Source organism: Homo sapiens, chromosome 19 (genome assembly GCF_000001405.40).
Source record: "Homo sapiens chromosome 19, GRCh38.p14 Primary Assembly".
Lineage (NCBI taxonomy): Eukaryota > Metazoa > Chordata > Mammalia > Primates > Hominidae > Homo > Homo sapiens.
Genome location: NC_000019.10, coordinates 46,728,401 through 46,745,170, shown reverse-complemented (window position 1 = coordinate 46,745,170; position 16,770 = coordinate 46,728,401). Strand labels below are relative to the sequence as shown.

At 53.9% G+C, this 16,770-nt stretch overlaps 2 protein-coding genes across 11 annotated transcripts in view, besides 4 other annotated features; one reads left to right on the top strand and one right to left on the bottom strand.

Moving 5' to 3' along the window:
• Nucleotides 1–411, bottom strand: part of FKRP (fukutin related protein) — a 13,816-nt gene extending 13,405 nt beyond the window's left edge. The window contains exon 1 of the mRNA XM_047439426.1: nucleotides 387–411. The gene's annotated coding sequence lies outside the window, so the exon portion shown is untranslated. The remainder of the gene's footprint in view (nucleotides 1–386) is intronic.
• The window catches only part of STRN4 (striatin 4), a 26,940-nt gene that overhangs the window by 1,280 nt on the left and 8,890 nt on the right, over nucleotides 1–16,770 (top strand). For 3 of the 10 annotated variants that reach the window (XM_006723172.3, XM_006723171.3, XM_011526878.2), the window contains exons 2-8: nucleotides 6,283–6,386; nucleotides 6,934–7,007; nucleotides 8,270–8,348; nucleotides 8,669–8,713; nucleotides 11,935–12,132; nucleotides 14,298–14,439; nucleotides 16,394–16,553. In XM_006723172.3, the coding sequence (XP_006723235.1) occupies nucleotides 6,283–6,386; nucleotides 6,934–7,007; nucleotides 8,270–8,348; nucleotides 8,669–8,713; nucleotides 11,935–12,132; nucleotides 14,298–14,439; nucleotides 16,394–16,553 (802 nt within the window). Of the gene's footprint in view, nucleotides 1–5,784; nucleotides 5,862–6,282; nucleotides 6,387–6,933; nucleotides 7,008–8,269; nucleotides 8,349–8,668; nucleotides 8,714–11,295; nucleotides 11,356–11,934; nucleotides 12,133–14,297; nucleotides 14,440–16,393; nucleotides 16,554–16,770 lie in introns of those variants that run through there. The other 7 variants (NM_013403.3, NM_001039877.2, XM_017026719.2 and 4 more) reach the window with 4 other exon arrangements.
• Nucleotides 13,102–13,919: an enhancer, noted in NCBI's record as "H3K4me1 hESC enhancer chr19:47234509-47235326 (GRCh37/hg19 assembly coordinates)". NCBI's record gives its function as "activates a minimal SCP1, AML or CMV promoter by ChIP-STARR-seq in primed H9 embryonic stem cells {active_cell/tissue: H9 hESC(primed)}" and the evidence as "EXISTENCE:reporter gene assay evidence [ECO:0000049][PMID:30033119]".
• Nucleotides 13,102–14,583: a biological region, named in NCBI's record as "CDK7 strongly-dependent group 2 enhancer GRCh37_chr19:47233845-47235044".
• Nucleotides 13,384–14,583: an enhancer, noted in NCBI's record as "CDK7 strongly-dependent group 2 enhancer chr19:47233845-47235044 (GRCh37/hg19 assembly coordinates)". NCBI's record gives its function as "activates an origin of replication core promoter dependent on BRD2, BRD4, P300/CBP, MED14 and CDK7 cofactors, with strong dependence on CDK7, by STARR-seq in HCT116 cells {active_cell/tissue: HCT116}" and the evidence as "EXISTENCE:reporter gene assay evidence [ECO:0000049][PMID:35650434]".
• Nucleotides 16,020–16,563: an enhancer, noted in NCBI's record as "H3K4me1 hESC enhancer chr19:47231865-47232408 (GRCh37/hg19 assembly coordinates)". NCBI's record gives its function as "activates a minimal SCP1, AML or CMV promoter by ChIP-STARR-seq in naive H9 embryonic stem cells {active_cell/tissue: H9 hESC(naive)}" and the evidence as "EXISTENCE:reporter gene assay evidence [ECO:0000049][PMID:30033119]".

Sequence of the window (16,770 nt, the reverse complement as noted above, 5' to 3'; positions counted from 1 at the left end):
ATGGAGGTGAGGGTCCTGGGATGGTGCCAATGAGGACGAGTTAGGGGTTACCCTGGGGTGATGCTTTAGGGGGGAGAATTTTGTAGAGCCCGAAGGCAACATGAGGAGGCATCTCGGAACGGGGGTAGACTGGGGTTGGGGGGAAGGGGATATGTTTGTGGAAGTCTTGGGAAAAGACCCCGTGGTTTTTGGGGTAGCTTGGGACAGGGATGTTGAATGGAAGAGTCTGAGGAGTTGGGCTAGGGTTTGTGACCTCGTGGAGCGTCAGGTCCATTGGCAGTGACTGGAGGACCATGGAGATGTCCGGATTTGAAGGGATCAGGAATGGCCCGCTGGAAGTCTGAAGATTCTTGGACTGGGTTATTATTAGCAGAAATTGTCATTACCTGCTTGTAGCAGCCCACCTTTCCCCTTCCGATTTGCCGTTTGCTATCTAGTAGGAAGCTGGTACCCAAATAAATAGCTGATGAGAATTGTGTCGGTAGGGATGGGGTGCGGTGGCTCACGCCTGTAATCCCAACACTTGGGGAGGTTGAGGTGGGAGAATCCCTTGAGCCCAGGAGTTCGAGGCCAGCCTGGCCAACATAGCAAGACCTCATCTCTACAAAAAAGTACAAAAATTAGCCGGGTGTGGTGACATGCGCCTGTAGTCCCAGCTACTCAGGAGGCTGAGGTGGGAGGATTGCTTAAACCCCGGAGGTTGAGGCTGCGGTGAGCCATGATTGCACCACTGCACTCCAGCCTGGGCAAAAGAGTGAGATCCTGTCTCAAAAAAAAGCATTTTGTTCATAGGATGAGTAAAGACCCTCCAGTAACTCTCCCCCTGCCCTCACTTGTGGTGGCTGAGGCTTGGGGCTGGGATGGGAGCAGAATCCTTATGTAACTGCTCTCACTTCTGTCCCACTCTCTACTTCCGAAGCTCTTTCCCAGCATACATCTCATCAGATCTTCACAATGCCCTGTGATGTAGGCAGAGGCAGTGTCATTACCTCACTCAGCAATAACGGTACCAGCTGCAATTTAGTGAGCACATACCATGTCTGGGGCGCTGTATCAAGTACTGTAGATACGAGCTGTCATTTAATTCTTGCAGCATTCTGGGAGGATAAAGGATATTCCCCCTACCTTTAAAAAAAATCAGGAGAGGAAATGGAGGTTTTGAGAGGGTGATTTATCTAGGATCCCAGCAGATGAGCAGAAGGGCTGGTCTGTGGTGGACCTTTTGTTTATTTATTTATTTATTTATTTATTTTTATTTTTATTTTTTTGAGACAGAGTCTCACTCTGTCACCCAGGGTGGAGTGCAGTGGCATGATCTTGGCTCATTGCAACCACTGCCTCCCAGGTTCAAGCGATTCTCCTGCCTCAGCCTCGCAAGTAGCTGGGATTACAGGTGTGCACCACCACCACGCCTGGCTGATTTTTGTATTTTTAGTAGAGATGGGGTTTTGCCACGTTGGTCAGGCTGGTTTCGAACTCCTGGCCTCAAGAGATCCACCTGCCTCGGCCTCCCAAAGTGCTGGGATTACAGGCATAAGCCACCATGCCCGACCGTCGGTAGACTTTTAAGCCCATGTTCTGTACCTCTCTGCTACCCAGTACAGTTGAGAAAATTGGTTCAGGCAAGCATAGTGGCCTCCCCAGGGTCACCCAAGCAGTCATAGCAGAGCTTGGACTGAATCTTGGCCTCTGGGACTTTGCACCAGTGCACCGCACAGCACCCACCACACCATCTTCTCATCCTGGAGGCTGATGAGAGAAAAGATGTTTATCCCCTCACTTACTGACCCTTCTTGGAGTTTGAGAGGAACTTGTGTCTGGCATGGTACCAGCACTGTCACTTTGTACTTTTGTTTTCTTTTATTCTGTTAAGTTAGTAAAAATTCAGACATCTCAGAGGGGTGTGTGTGTGTGTGTGAGTGTGTGTATACACATATATATGTAAGTGAAAAAGGAAAGTTCCTTCTCTTCGTCCCTTTCCTGCTCTTCTCTCCTGAGAGAGAAGAGTTATTGTGCTTATGTAATAGATGAACTACTGCTGTATGTATCATTTTGTGACATAATAATCTGTTTTGGTTTTCCTTTCATATCAGCACAGAGAACTCTTTCTTTTTGATAGCTGCATAGCGTCCCACGGGATGTTTGCACCATAGCTGATTGAGTTTGACCCTGGTTGGTGGACTTTTAGATTTTTTCTAGTTTTTCCCCCATCAGACATGGCTGCAGTGAGAACCCCTTATTCCTGTGCAAGAATGAAGCAGAACAGATGAGTGGAATAGTAGAATGGATGTGTTTATGAAACAGTGATTGGGCTGGGCGCGGTGGCTCGCGCCTGTAATCCCAGCACTTTGAGAGGCCAAGGCAGGTGGATCACAAGGTCTGGAGTTCAAGACCAGCGTGGCCGATATGGTGAAACCCCACCTCTACTAAAAATACAGAAATTAGTCGGGCGTGGTGGTGGGCGCCTGTAGTCCCAGCTACTCGGGAGGCTGAGGCAGGAGAATCGCTTGTACCCGGGAAGCAGAAGTTGCAGTGAGCCGAGATCACACCACTGCACTCCAGCCTTGGTGACAGAGCGAGATGCCATCTCAAAAAAAATAAAAATAAAAAAAGAAACAGTGAATGACTCTGCCACATTGACCCACCAGTTTACTCTCCCATCAGCGGCACCTCTTTTACACACCTTTACTTGAACACTTAGTGCTAACAGACGGTGTGACTTCCCCTGTGAGATCCCTTAAGAGCTAGGCAGTGTCAGATTTTCCTGATGGACTCTGAATAACTTTTCTCTGAAGAGCTTAATACAGCTGCTCCTAGCAGAAGACCTGCCGTGCGACCCTGCTTGGTACCTGTGTGTTGAATGGCAGAGAAGGCAGCCCCCAGGGAGGTCCTGCCAGTAGTCACCATAAGTTTGGAGCAGGAAGGTGGCGGAGCTGCAGTCTGATAATGAGCAGGCATTTGCTAGGTGGGGGATTCTGAGAAGTAAGTAACGTGGTTTCTGCCCATCCGAAACTTCCAGGCTGGCAGAGGAAGCTTGTTTGTGCAGGGGACCGCAGAGCTGTAGATGTTCATGCACAGTTGATTGTGTGGCTCTGCCCCTGTTCTGTGGCAACTCTGAGAGGGGAAGCTTTTTGAGGATGGGAGGGACCTTTTAATGAGGGATCTGAACTGGAGATTTGTATAGGAGCAGCGACAGGGACCTGCAGTGAGTGCGGTGCCAGCAGAGAATGTGCGGAGCTGCCCCTGCCCACTTCAGCTTCCTGGGGGCCCATTCCTGCCAGCAGCTGCTGAAGCTTGGGAAGGAGGCCCTTAGGAGATGCAGGGCTAGATGGCACGAAACGGGGACTCTTCCCAGCTAGCTGGGACAGGAAGCAGCGAATTCAGAGAGGCATCAGCTCCTGGGAGGACTGAATTGCTGGGACTCCTCCGAAGCCTTTAGATGTCGCCTTGCTGGGAATAGCTGGAGGGGCGGAGAGGCAGTAGCTGCCAGGTATCAGAAGGTTTTGGGAGCGCATGCTCTGCGGCTCTGGCTAGAGGGAGTGGCAGTGGGTGGATATGGTGAGCGGCACTTCCAGATCCCCGACCGACCCTCAGGCCTACCTTGGCCCTCGCAGACCAGACAGCCCGTGGGGGCTGCTGGCGTTTGCAGCGAGGGAGAGACTGGCCACTGACGCTTCCCGTTTTTGGTGGGTTTCCACCTCCCTGAGATGCTCCAACCATGTCTTTCTGGTTCTCTTTCCAGAGGCACTGGGAAAGGGACAGCAAAGCAGAGTGGGCAGCTGAGACCCTCACATCCTCATTAGGAGGAGGGAGACCACAGCTCGATGAGGCAGCAGAGGGATGAAGGGGGAACCCAGCCAGTGACAGGTCTGGTTGGGATGCCCAACTCCACCTCCTGCCCCCACAGATAGACCACTACTGTGTCCACTGCCCCGGCCTAGTCCAAGCCACTACCGTTCTGTCCTGGGATTTCTGGGACTGCCCTCATCTGTGATGGGGGTCTCTGTGTCCAGCTCTGCCGCTCTCCTGCTCCCTCCCTCTAGTCTCCCTCCAGAACTCCCTCCAGTCAGTTCTCCATGTTTTAGCTGGAGCTGCCTTTATAACATGCGAATCGGTTACCTCTCTGTACTTAAAACCCTTCCATGGCTTCACTGAGCCTTTTACAGGTTCTGAAGCAGCCATCCTGGCCTTTTTTAGAGTTCCTTAAGCCCACCATGCAGCTCTTGTCTCCGTCCTCTGCCAGCAGGGCCCTTCCCTCCCCTGGCTAACTTCTCTTCAGCTTCAGGCCTTAGCTGAATTGTCGCCTCTTGTCCCTCTTCCCATAGCGTCCTTCGCTCCCGCAATGGGGTCCTAGTCACATTGCATGTGAGTTGCTGCTCATGCCTGTCTCCTGCATGGGACTGAGCCCTGTGGGTGCAGGAACCACATGGCTCCTCTGTTATTCCCCAGCGCCTTACTGGGGCACCTGATGTGTGTGGGCAGTCACCAAACAGTGGCAGGTATTGACCAAGGTGTAGGTTCCCGGCAGGCTGAACTGCCCCTGGGAGGTTGAGGGATCAATCACCAAACCCCAGGAGGGAAGGGAGGAGAGTGAGGAGGAAAGTCAGGACTTGTCTTCGGTGGTCGGTCTGCCTCTCCTCACACCTTCTCCAGTGATTCAGAGAGTAGATTTGGGGGACTGAGAAGATACACAAAGGACAGAAACTCATGCTTCAGAGATGCTGATGTCATATAAGTAGTTTCCCTGTCTGGCCTTGGATGTTTATATACATATGTGTTGGTAAAAAGTGTTAAAAAGGAAAAAAATTTCCCATTCTTGAAGCGGACAGATGAGTTTTCTTTTCTATAAGGTAACTGGTGACATGTATTTCTTTTTTTTTTTGAGACGAAGTCTGGCTCTGTCGCCCAGGCTGGAGTGCAGTGGCACGATCTTGGCCCACTGCAATCTCCACTTCCCAGGTTCAAGCGATTCTCCTGCCTCAGCCTCCCGAGTAGCTGGGACTACAGGTGTGTACCACCATGCCTGGCTAAGTTTTTTGTATTTTTAGTAGAGATGGGGTTTCACCATGTTGGCCAGGCTGGTCTTGAACTCCTGACCTCAAGTCATCTGCCCACCTCAGCCTCCCAAAGGGCTGGGATTACAGGCGTGAGCCACTGTGCCTGGCCAATCCACAGACATTTCTAGTTGATCTGGGGTCTCCAAGGGATCCTACCTCCCGTAAGGAACTGGGCCCATTTCGAAGTTGCGAACAATGGACAGGGAGAATAAAAATGATGAAAGAAGTAGAAGCTGGCATTTGTTAGCCTTTATTCTGTGCCAGGCCTTGACTGAGCAGAACCTAGCACATGAGGGGAGGGCACTCTTGTGACTCTCATTTTCTAGAGGGGCAAATGGAGGCTCAGAGAAGGCTGATGACCTGCGTAAGATCATGTAGCGAGTAAGTGTCTAAGTTGGGCCTGGGCTCTGGCTGTTCTGGGCTGGAACGGTGGGGTGCTTGGGGAGAAGCCAGAGATGAGCCTTGGGCCAGGGCTTTGGCAGAAGAGCTTCTGGACCATGGTCAGGGGCCAGGATCCTGCCTGGAAGGCAGTGGGCCCAGTGTCTCCAAATGACCTGTTGACAGACTGGAGCAGACGGGGCAGCTCAAGCCAGCAGACGGTGTGAAGTGCTTGGCAGGAACCCGGGGTCGTGTCTGTGGCACATTTCTCTCACACCCTGGGCGGAATGCAGTGGGACGGCTGGTCCCCACAGCGGGCTTGGCTTGTAAAGCTTTTCTATTGGAGCAGGAGCCGAGCCGAGCCACCCACTCTTGTCCCTAAGCTCCAGAAGTAGCTTCCCACGCCTCCCAGAGACAGATGCTCTGGTAAGAATAGTGGGACGCCACCTCCACCAGCAGCCTTAGGGACAGCACCTGCCAGAGGGCGTCAGGGGTAGTCCAGGGCGGTGAATGCCCACCCTCCTCTCCACTGCCATCCCTGACCCGACTTCCCCCCAAAGGCAGCCACCAGGTGAGGCCCAGGCTGGCCCCATTGTTATCTCAGGGGTTAAGGGCTCCCCTTCGGCCCTCGTTGTGGGTGACGTGGCAGGGGGCCCTGGAAACAGATCCATCCTGTCCTCTCAGTGCTCCCTGAACCCTGGCTTGGGATCTTTGTGCCTGAGGAAGTGGCTGCTGCCCATTACTGTGGGGTGACTGTGGGCTGGCACTATACCTGGGTGAGTGATAGACACACCGGCATTGAGCCTGAGCCCCATTATCTCCCTTTGCCTCCTGTCTGCCCTCCCAGGCTCAGGTGGCCTTCCTTCAGGGAGAGAGGAAAGGGCAGGAGAATCTAAAGACGGACCTGGTGCGGCGGATCAAGATGCTAGAGTATGCGCTGAAGCAGGAAAGGTGAGCCTTCATCCTGCCCTGGGCCTGCCTTCTGGGTCCGTCTCAAGCACAGTGTCAGGAGGCCACCAGCCACGCCTCCTTCCAGCTAAGGGAGATTTGGGGTCGACATTCTTTTCCATCATTCCAGTACCATAAGATTCTAGGGGAGAAACAGGACAGAGTAGGTGGGATTTGGGTTAGACACCAGGAACGATATTCACGATGCTAGTGGCCCACTGTGCGCCAAATATCGTATAGTCCTTACCTCCGTTATCCCTTATACCTTCCAATAGCCTAACGGGTATTGTTAGCCCTGTTTCAGATAAGGAACTGGGGTTTCAAGGGCTGATGGTTTCCTCAAGGACCCCTGAGAGCAACCTAGGTTGCCTGACTCCAGGGAGTGGTTTCTTCCACCAGGCCAGGGGTGTGGGGGGATGCTTCAGCCTCAGTAGTAGACGAGCTGGGGGAGGCCCTGTGATTTGGGGTTTGGGATTCTGGATTCCTTAGGTAACTACTGACCCTGTCTACTCTCCCGCATCTCTTATTCATTAATCATTTGCTCTTTTAGGGCCAAATATCATAAACTGAAGTTTGGGACAGACCTGAACCAGGGGGAGAAGAAAGCAGATGTGTCAGAACAAGGTACCCACCCTCTGATGCTCGCACTGTCGGCACCCTCCCGCAGAAGCTGAGTGTTCTGGAGAAGCAGGAAGATGGGGTGCCTCTTTCTCACTTTGCTCCTTAGAAGGCAGAATCGGCCCCGGGGCTGGGGAGGGGCGGAATCTCACTCTCAGAGCCCTCCCTATGGGCTGCCAGGTCCCGTGCTGGACCCTGGGGGCCAGTCCCGCTTGGGTCCCCCTGTGCAACAGAGGCAGACACACGAGCAGCTCACGGGATCCCTTTGCGAGGAGTGGGCGCCAGGGCTATTTATAGAGTGCTGGGGACGGTGCGGGAAAGCCGGGGAAGACGTCACTGAGGAGGTGGCGTTTGAACAGGGTTGCCGTTCAATCGTTCATCCAAAAAAGACTTTATTTGTAGGGTACAGGCTTTGTATCACAGATCAGGAATACAGCAGAGAGCACGGGAGACATGGTCTCTACCCTCTGGTCCCTTAGAGTCTAAGCTCCTTGAAAGATGACTCCGTTCCCCAGCAGGAGAGTCAGGGGAGAGAGCACAGATACAGAGACGCACGCTGAAAGGGTTAGGGGACAGGGAGTCGGTCAGTGTGCCTGGGCAAACAGTGTAGGGCAGAGGATGTGGGAGGGCGGGCTGGGTGAGGGGGAAGCTTGGCCGAGGCAAGCTGAGAAGACCTTGTGTGCTCAGCTGATAGTGATGGTCATTACCTGCTGCCAGCTCCTCTCACTAGAACGGAAGTTCCACAAGGGCAGGTCTTTGTTTACCCATGTAGCCCAGGCCCCTGGCCAGGCACAGCGTAGATGCCCAGGAAAGACTTGAATAAAATACTAAGCAAATTATCTCATTGCATCCTCTCAGCACTCCCAAGAGGGAGATGCTGTTATCATTAAGCTCATTTCTCAGAGGACGAAACTGACACGGCTTACACTAACTCAGGGTCACACAGCTGGGATGGGGCAGAGCTGGGCTTGAACCCAGTCGGCCCTTCTCTCAGAACCAGGCCAGCTTTCTGGTTTTGAGATAACACCCTTATCTTGTCGGGGGCCAGTTTGGGGAACCACCAGTCAGGAGACCTAGAGATGAGGAACGCTTCAAGGAGGAGGAATCCCCGAGTAAGGGAAGAGAGCAGGGTTCCAACACTCAGGAAGTGATGCCACAGGACCTGCGACAGTGACCGATTTGGGTTGGAGGGGTGAGGAAGATGGAGGAGGTGATGGGTAGGTGGCAGTGGCCTGACTTAAGACAGCCTCCGTTCTCTCACCCGCCAGTCTCCAATGGCCCCGTGGAATCGGTCACCCTGGAGAACAGCCCGTTGGTGTGGAAGGAGGGGCGGCAGCTTCTCCGACAGTGAGTGTGCTCGGGGAGGGGGGCTGGGGACACGTGACACGTTTGGCTTGAGAGATAAGTCCAAAGACTCCACAGTCCTTTTCCGTCCCCACTGGGGATGCTGAACTATCAGGATCTTAGCCAGCCATGGCTGGAATGGCTTTCACCCTGTGGGCGGAGCCTGGCCTGGGGAGAGGGAGGGAAACCCGCTGCAGGAGGCAGACGTGGGGACACCCCTGTTGGAATGTGTCCCTGAATGCCTCTGTGGCTTTTTTTTTTTTTTTTTTTTTTGTCTCAGTGGCCATAGGAGCCCTGTGTGGCTTTTTTTTTTTTTTTTTTAGATACCTTGTGAAGATTTATGAAGCATGGCTTTTTATTTCCCAAGGGTAATATTAAATTATTTTTTATTTGTTAATTATTTATTTAAAGACTAATCAAATACAGTAGTGGGAAGTGGGGAGAAGGCAGATCTGTAAGTAGGTCTGTAATCAACTGTGAATCATCACAGTAACTCACCATGTTTGGACCAGCAAATTCTTAATGTTATTATTATTTATTATTATTTTTTGAGACAGTTTCTGCTCCGTTGCCCAGGCTGCAGTGCAGTGGCACGATCTCAGCTCACTGCAACCTCTGCCTCCATCCACCTCAGACGATTCTCCTGCCTCAGCCTTCTGAGTAGCTGGGATTACAGGCAGGTGCCATCACACCCGGCTAATTTTTGTATTTTTTAGTAGAGATGGGGTTTCAGCATGTTGGCCAGGCTGGTCTCAAACTCCTGAGCTCAAGTGATCCGCCTGCCTCGGCCTCCCAAAGTGCTGGGATTACAGGCATGAGCCACTGCGCCTGGCCAAATTATTATCATTATTATTATTATTTGAGACAGAGTTTCGCTCTTGTTGCCCAGGCTGGAGTGCAGTGGTGCGATCTCGGCTCACTGCAACCTCTGCCTCCCGGGTTCAAGCGATTCTCCTGCCTCAGCCTCCCTAGTAGCTGGGATTACAGGCGTGCACCACCATGCCTAGCTAATTTTGTATTTTTAGTAAAGACAGGGTTTCACCATGTTGGCCATGCTGGTCTTGAACTCCTGACCTCAGGTGATCCGCCTGCCTTGGCCTCCCAAAGTGCTGGGATTATAGGTGTGAGCCACCGCGCCCAGCCTCAAATTATTATTTTTTAATTGCTGAAGAGATTTGTGCATTTTAGAAAACTTAGAAAATATAGGAGAGCAGAGAGAAAAATCACTCATAATTTCTCCACCCAAGAAATTTCATACCCCTATAAACATTTTGCCATATATGGTCTCAGTTTCTTCCGTGGCTGTGTATTTTTGCCTCTGTTATCTTAATAAATAAATAAACTCACTCTGTCTCCCAGGCTGGAGTACAGTGGTGCAGTCAGAGCCCACAGCAGGCTTGATCTGAGCTCAAGTGATCTCCTGCCTCAGCCTCCTGAGTAGCTGGGACAACAGGCATGAGCCACACTGCTCAGTTTATGTATTTCATTTACTTATTTATTTATTTATTTTTTAATGTTTTGAGACAGAGTCTTGCTCTTTCACCCAGAGTGGAGTGCAGTGGCATAATCTCGGCTCACTGCAACCTCTGCCTCCCGGGTTCAAGTGATTCTCGTGCTTCAGCCTCCCAAGTAGCTGGGATTACAGGTGTGTGCCACCACACCTGGCTAATTTTTGTATTTTTAGTAAAGACAGCGTTTTACCATGTTGGCCAAGCTGGTCTTGAACACCCGAGCTCAAGTGATCCACCTGCCTTGGCCTCCCAAACTGCTGGGATTACAGGTGTGAGCCACCGCGCCCAGCCCAGCTTATATATTTTATAAAAGCTGGGATTTGTTTTCACTGTTAAAGAGTTGCAAACATCGGCCGGGTGCAGTAGCTCATGCCTGTAATCCCAGCACTTTGGGAGGCCGAGGCGGGCAGATCACAAGGTCAGGAGATCGAGACCATCCTGGCTAACACGGCAAAACCCCGTCTCTACTAAAAATACAAAAAATTAGCCGGGCTTGGTGGCGGGTGCCTGTAGTCCCAGCTACTCGGGAGGCTGAGGCAGGAGAATGGCGTGAACCCGGGAGACGGAGCTTGCAGTGAGCCGAGATCGTGCCACTGCACTCCAGCCTGGGCGACAGAGCAAGAGTCTGTCTTAACAACAACAAAAAAGAGTTACGAACATCTCTCCATATTAATTAGTTATGTTGCATCACTTTGAAGACCTCATAATTTCCTTCCTTTGGTCCTATGGAGGAAAAAAACCCAACATATAATGTCTGTCATATAGATAACCATAACTCTCCATGGTCAGTTCCTTGTATTTTGTCAAGGTTGCTTTTAATTTTTTTGTATTATAGACAGTGTGATAAAAATCAGGAAGGTATTTGTGCATATCCTTGATTTCCTCAAGTTAGATATCTGGAAGTGGGGTTGCTAGCTTAAAGTGTGTGCAAACAATAACCCTAAAACAATAATAGTAATACTAACAGGCTACACTTACCAAGTACCTATTACGTGCCTGGCACTGTGCTAAACATTTTCCACCTGTTGGCTCCTCACTGAGATCTCTGTGTGGTATAATGCTAGTGTTCCCCTCATAAGAAAACTGGCATGCGGTGAGGTGATCTGTTTACACAAGGTTGCATGGTTAATTTGTGGGATCTTGGGCAATCTGCCCCCAGTGCCCAGCTTTAAAGCCCCGTGCTTCCCTGTCTCTCTTTTGGTGGGGAGATAGGAGCCTCAGACACACACAGGCGCACAGGATGAGACGTACATGCAGGTGCGTGCAGCCTAACATTCAAGAGACAGGGTCAGAGCTGCGAAGGGACAGGGAACGGCAAAGGCGGCCTGGCCAGGAAGCCTCCTGAGGAGTAGCAAGGGACTGTTGTCGCTGTATTTTGAAGCCACAGATACCCCAAATTGATTTTTGTTCTTTTTTCCTTCTTCTTTTTTTACTTTTAGTCCAGTCCCAGCTGGCTTCAGTTTTTAAATTGCAGAAGTAATAAGTGCTCATTTGTAGAAGTAAGTAGAGTAAGTTGCAAAAGTTCCTCTTACGCCCCTAATCCCATTCTCCAGAGGTCACTGCTGTTATGTTTTTTATGGATCTTTCTAGGCCTCTTGGGGGACATAATACAAACGTGTGTTTGCGTGTGGTGTAAGCTTTATGCACATTAACGCCTTTTTGTTTTTTTCTACAAACATTGGCATCATGTGGATCATAGAACTTAGCGTTTTCGTTCTGCTGTTTACCGTGGCCAGCTTCCCTTAAGGCTCTGCCCTGTTGATCTTCTGCCTTGCAGCGCTATGAGTCATTTGCTGACACAGCCCCTGTCGGTGGGTGCTGAGGCTGGTCCCTGTGCTTCGGCTTCCCCATACAGCAGTGCAGGGAGCACCCTCACACATAGCATTGTGTGTGTGTACAAGGGCTTCCACTGGAAATAGCCTTGACGGGGAACTGCTGGAGCGAGGGTGTGCTTATGTCAGATTTTGGTGTATGCTCTTAAGTGGCCCCTTAAGAGGTTGTCTCGGTTTGCATTGGCCCCTGTGGTACATGAAGAAGCCCAGGGGATGTCTGACCCACGTGGCTCTGCACCCCTGCAGGTACCTGGAAGAGGTGGGCTACACAGACACCATCCTCGACATGCGGTCCAAGCGCGTCCGTTCCCTGCTGGGCCGCTCGCTGGAGCTCAACGGGGCAGTGGAGCCGAGTGAAGGGGCCCCCAGGGCTCCACCAGGCCCTGCAGGGCTCAGTGGTGGGGAGTCGCTGCTGGTGAAACAGATCGAGGAGCAGATAAAGAGGTGAGCCCGTGGACATGGCAGGTGTGTCTCTCTGTTCCTCCTGACTGCTGGTGAAGGCCAGGGTCAGAGTGTCAGCTGATGGCGCTGGGTGCCCTGGCGGCCCCTCCTCCTGGAGTATGCCGTGGGCTCCCTTGTTCTGAAACCCTGAGTCCCTTCACTGCTGGGATCCCCCGGATTCTGTCCTGGGTTCCCTCCACACACTTCGCCATGGCCTCATCTCCAGCCCTGCCCCCGTCCTGATACTCAGGCCTGCCCGCTTCTCGGTCGAGTGGGGTGCTTACCGAAGGCACACCCTGGGTGCCTCGCCAGCAGGGAGTGGAGCACACGTGGTCGCCACCCTCAGGAATCTCTGGCTTGTTCACTCTCATCAGCAATTGTCAGTTAAGCAGAACAAGTGAGGCCACGTAGGTGATGCTAAGCACGATGGAGACCACGAGGGCCAATATGTGCTCCTCTGCAGGGGGTGGGCAGGGAGGGCCTCTGTGGGCATTAAATGGAGGGTAAGCCACACGAGTGGCTGGGAGGAGAATGTTCTAGGCAGAGGGCACAGTGAACCCCGAGGTCCAGAGGCAGGAGAGACGCAGCCTGCACAGAAGCAGCACGAGGCCGGCATGGCCGCAGGCAGTGAGGCGTGGGCTGCGGGGAGGTTGTGGTCTCAGGAGTCAGCCACTCAGGGCCTTGGGCTGGGATAGAGTCTGAGTTTGACTCAGGGTTGTGGGAAGCCAGTGCTTTCGAGCAGCGGGGTGACATAATCTGACGTACCTGATCCACTCTGAGAAGGAGAGGTGTGGGAGGGTCACAGAGGAGGCAGGCGGACCAGTTAGGAGATGGCTCGATGTCTGGGACAGAGCTGATGGACTTTAGCGGTGGTGAGGCGAGAGGTGTCAGCTTCCCCAGAGGCTTTCAGGCAGTCGACACTGAAGGACTGCAGCTAAGGGGAGAGGAAAAGAAACGAGCGACTCCAGGGTTTGGTGTGAGCCATTGGAGCAGCATCCCCTGAGACGGGGAAGCCTGGGAGTGGAAGTTCTGGGGGCCGCCGAGGTTGTGTGAAGTGTGAGGGGCCTGTTTACCCCCATGTGGAGAAGCAGAGCTCGTCTGGAGCTGCGGGGCATTTGGCCCCTAAACATAGGTCTAGTTGAACAAGCACATGGGCATTCTTTGGAAAGCCATGGCCGTCTGCAGTGCCTGCAGGAGTGAGTGTAGATGACGCAGAGAAGAGATCTGGGGACTGCCCGGGTGCTCTCCCACTTAGAGGCTGGAGGGAGGAACAGGAGGAGGAAGCTGAGAAAGAGGCTGAGCCTGTGCGGCGTGTCAGTGTCGTTGTGGGAGGAAGGCCGGTGAGAATGGAGTCCTGTGTCCCGCTGCAAGTGCAGCGAGTGTTCTGAGGATGGAGTGGAGCTCTGGTGATGGCAGCCGTGAGGCGAGAGGGTACATCTGCAGTGACCTCTGCACCCGTTGGTAACTGGCAGTTGACAAGACCTCCAGGGCATCAACCTGATGGCAGAAAGGGGGGACGTTTTCGTCGATCTGCACTTGGAATTGCACCCTGCCTTCTCCCGCAGTCAGGCTGGGTCAGTACCTCCTCTGCTATAACTTGTCATGAAGTTGGAAGCCAGGAGGTGGAAGGAGGAGTGCCATCTGTTGCTGGGGATAGTGCAGGCTCCTGGGTAGCAGGGATCGCCGGCGCCCCTGCTTGCGCGAGGCTGGCTGGCTTTCGGCGCCTCCCAGAGCATTTGTAGAATGGCCGGTTCCTCTTTCCTGCAGGGCGTGTTTGCCTCCTGCCTGACCTGCCCTTGTGGTCTGACTGGGCTGTGGGAATGGGGACTGCTGAGTCAGTGGCACTTTCTCATCCAGCTTTCCTTCTGACTCAGCACAGGATGGAGATTTGTGACCAGGGTTGGGGGCTGGCCCTCTGAAACTCAGGTCGGCGGTCATTGAGGAGCTGGGCCCCGTTTGCGGTCTGAGTGAGGCTTCCAGTTGGAATGAGCATTTGTTGGGCAGAGGCTGGGGTTGGGGCTCTGTGTGTGACCAGAGTCAAGGCTGCTCAGGGGTTAGGGGGTTAGCTGGGTCTGGGCTCTGGCCACCAAGCCTGGGAGGGCACCTTCCTATCTGAGCTTTGACACCTGCCAGGACTCATGCCTCCTCTGCTCTGCTGTCTTTGGCAGGAACGCGGCAGGCAAAGATGGCAAAGAGCGCTTGGGCGGCTCAGTGCTGGGGCAGATCCCCTTCCTGCAGAACTGCGAGGACGAAGACAGCGACGAGGACGATGAGCTGGACAGCGTGCAGCACAAGAAGCAGCGTGTGAAGGTGAGCCCTTCCTCCATGCCCTGCACAGCCTGGCCTGGGTGTGACCTGATCGAAGCCCTTCCGAGTCAGCCTGGGCCTTCAGGGGCTGCGGTGTGTGCTGGCAGCAGGGATATGGAGACACACAGGCCCTGGCCTGGAGGAGCTTGTGGCCAGCAGCGGCCTTGTAAATAGTCATGTGCAGAAGGACGCGTTGTGGTGGAGGCAGGGGCATGTGCCTATGAAGGAGGCACCTGTGGCAGATGGCCTCGGAGCTTTCCCTGAGCCCCGGGCTTCCCATTAGCGGGTCCCTTTGCCTAGGTCCCCTTTCTTTCCTCCTTTAGACTCAGCTCAGACACCCCCTCCTCCAGGAAGCCTTCTCTGACTCACCCTGGGCTCCCTTCCCTGGCCCTGGCCACTCTGGGGTCCTCCCTGTCTGGTCTGTATTCCTCCTGACCTCTCCCTGGGAGGGACTGGGCCTGTGTGGGCCTCCACTGCATCTCCAGTATCCCCAGTGTGGCTCAGCACAGAGTCGCACCCCAAGTAGAGTGGTGTGCACGGAGCCGCAGCACTGCAGGAGGCCTAGAGGAAGAGCAGGAGGGCTGAGTCCAGGGTCTCAAATGCTGGCCCCTGGTCCAGACGCTTGGTCCTTCCCACCCCTCTGAGAATTTCTAGTCCTTTTCCACCCCTCCACCCATTCCATCAGGAATCATCCGTGGTGTTTGCACCCCTTCGGGCCCACACCCTTGGGCTGGCTGGTTGGGTAGGGCTCTCTGTCTCTACGCAGCAGCCCTCCATCGAGGCCCAGCTGGGAACCCAGGGGACTGCCCATGGCTCCCAGGGGGCCCTGGCCCAGCTGCGTGAGTTCTGGCCCACACTTCTTTGTCTTGGCTTCAGTCTCCTCACCCTTTAGATGGGGCTGAGTCCCTCCGTCTGAGTTGTTGAGGATTTAATTAGAATGAGCTGGTGCCCAGGAAGCCCTCAGCTGCATGGTGGCTGTCCCCCAAGTGCTCAGTAGGTGTTAGTGGCGCTGGTGGCACTTGGTAGTGGTGGAGCCCTCATGGTTCCAGGCACTGTTGGCAGAGCACAATTGCCACTCGTGTGCCCCTCAGAGCACCTGTGGTGGTTCTCTCCTCTGGAGTCCTGAGCCCGGCCGCTGCCTTTCTGGGCATGCTGTCTAAACCCTCCCCTTCCCCATTCTTTGCACAAGTGTTGAATAAACCTTGGCCCTAGGTCTTCTCCATGCCCCTTCCCTCTGGTCCCCCCCATGCAGGTCAGAGGCTGGCCCCTCACTGGTGCCCGAGAGGTGTCGCCAAACTCAGCCTGGGGGGCTGACATGTGGAAGGGGTCAGCCACGCCCTGGAGGAGTTCACAGTGGGCAGAGCTTGGCCTTGGTGACCTAGGGCAAGTGGGTTCCTGCTGCTCAGCCTGTCTCCTGGCCTGTAATGTGGGAATGATAATGACAGTGTTCACGGTAGCTGTTCGCAGGGTTGGGGGTTAAGTGAAGTCGTGTCTGCGAGGGGTAGTCAGTGGTCATTCAGTGAGTGGAATTTGCTCTTGTGCCAGCACGGCTGCTGGTGCTGTGTTTATCGCTGCAATGCTGTGGTCCATTCATCCTCACTTGTTTGCACCTCCGTATATTCACACACGGACACCAGTGCATATCTGCCCTCCCTGCAGGCAGATTGTTGCATTATCTGACTTTTCTTCATCCGAGGCACCTTGCTGGGGGACTGGAGCAGGCTGAGCCCTGGCTAGGGGAAGGACTGCGTGAGGGTGGGGTCAGGCCGACCGGCCCTAGTGGTAGCAGCTGTCCAAGGCCCAGCAGGGGGCGCTCCAGGGCAGCTGGCTGGCGGCTGAGGCAGCCCCATGAACAGAAACGGGCCCAGAGCCCCGGCTTACCTGTTCCTAGGCACGGAGGTGGCTTAGTCTCTGGACAAGAGGCCCCCTGACTTGTCTGGCTTTCTCCATGTGCCAGCTCCCATCCAAGGCTCTGGTGCCCGAAATGGAAGACGAGGATGAGGAAGACGACTCTGAGGATGCTATCAATGAGTTTGATTTCCTGGGCTCAGGAGAGGATGGGGAAGGGGCTCCAGACCCTCGGCGGTGCACTGTGGATGGGAGCCCCCATGAGCTGGGTGAGCTGACGTTTTCTGGCCAGCCCCCGCTTGCCTTCCCCACCGAGGGGGTGGGAGCAGGCTCAGCTGCCCGCAGCTGCTTCCTGTACAGGGTCTCTCTACCGGACGGATATGTTTCCTGAGAGGAGGGTAGCCAAGGAGAGCAGGAGGCCCAGGTCATGGCCGCCGGCCCCTCACCCCTTCCCTGGAAAATCCCCATGGAGACGCAGGCAGTCCT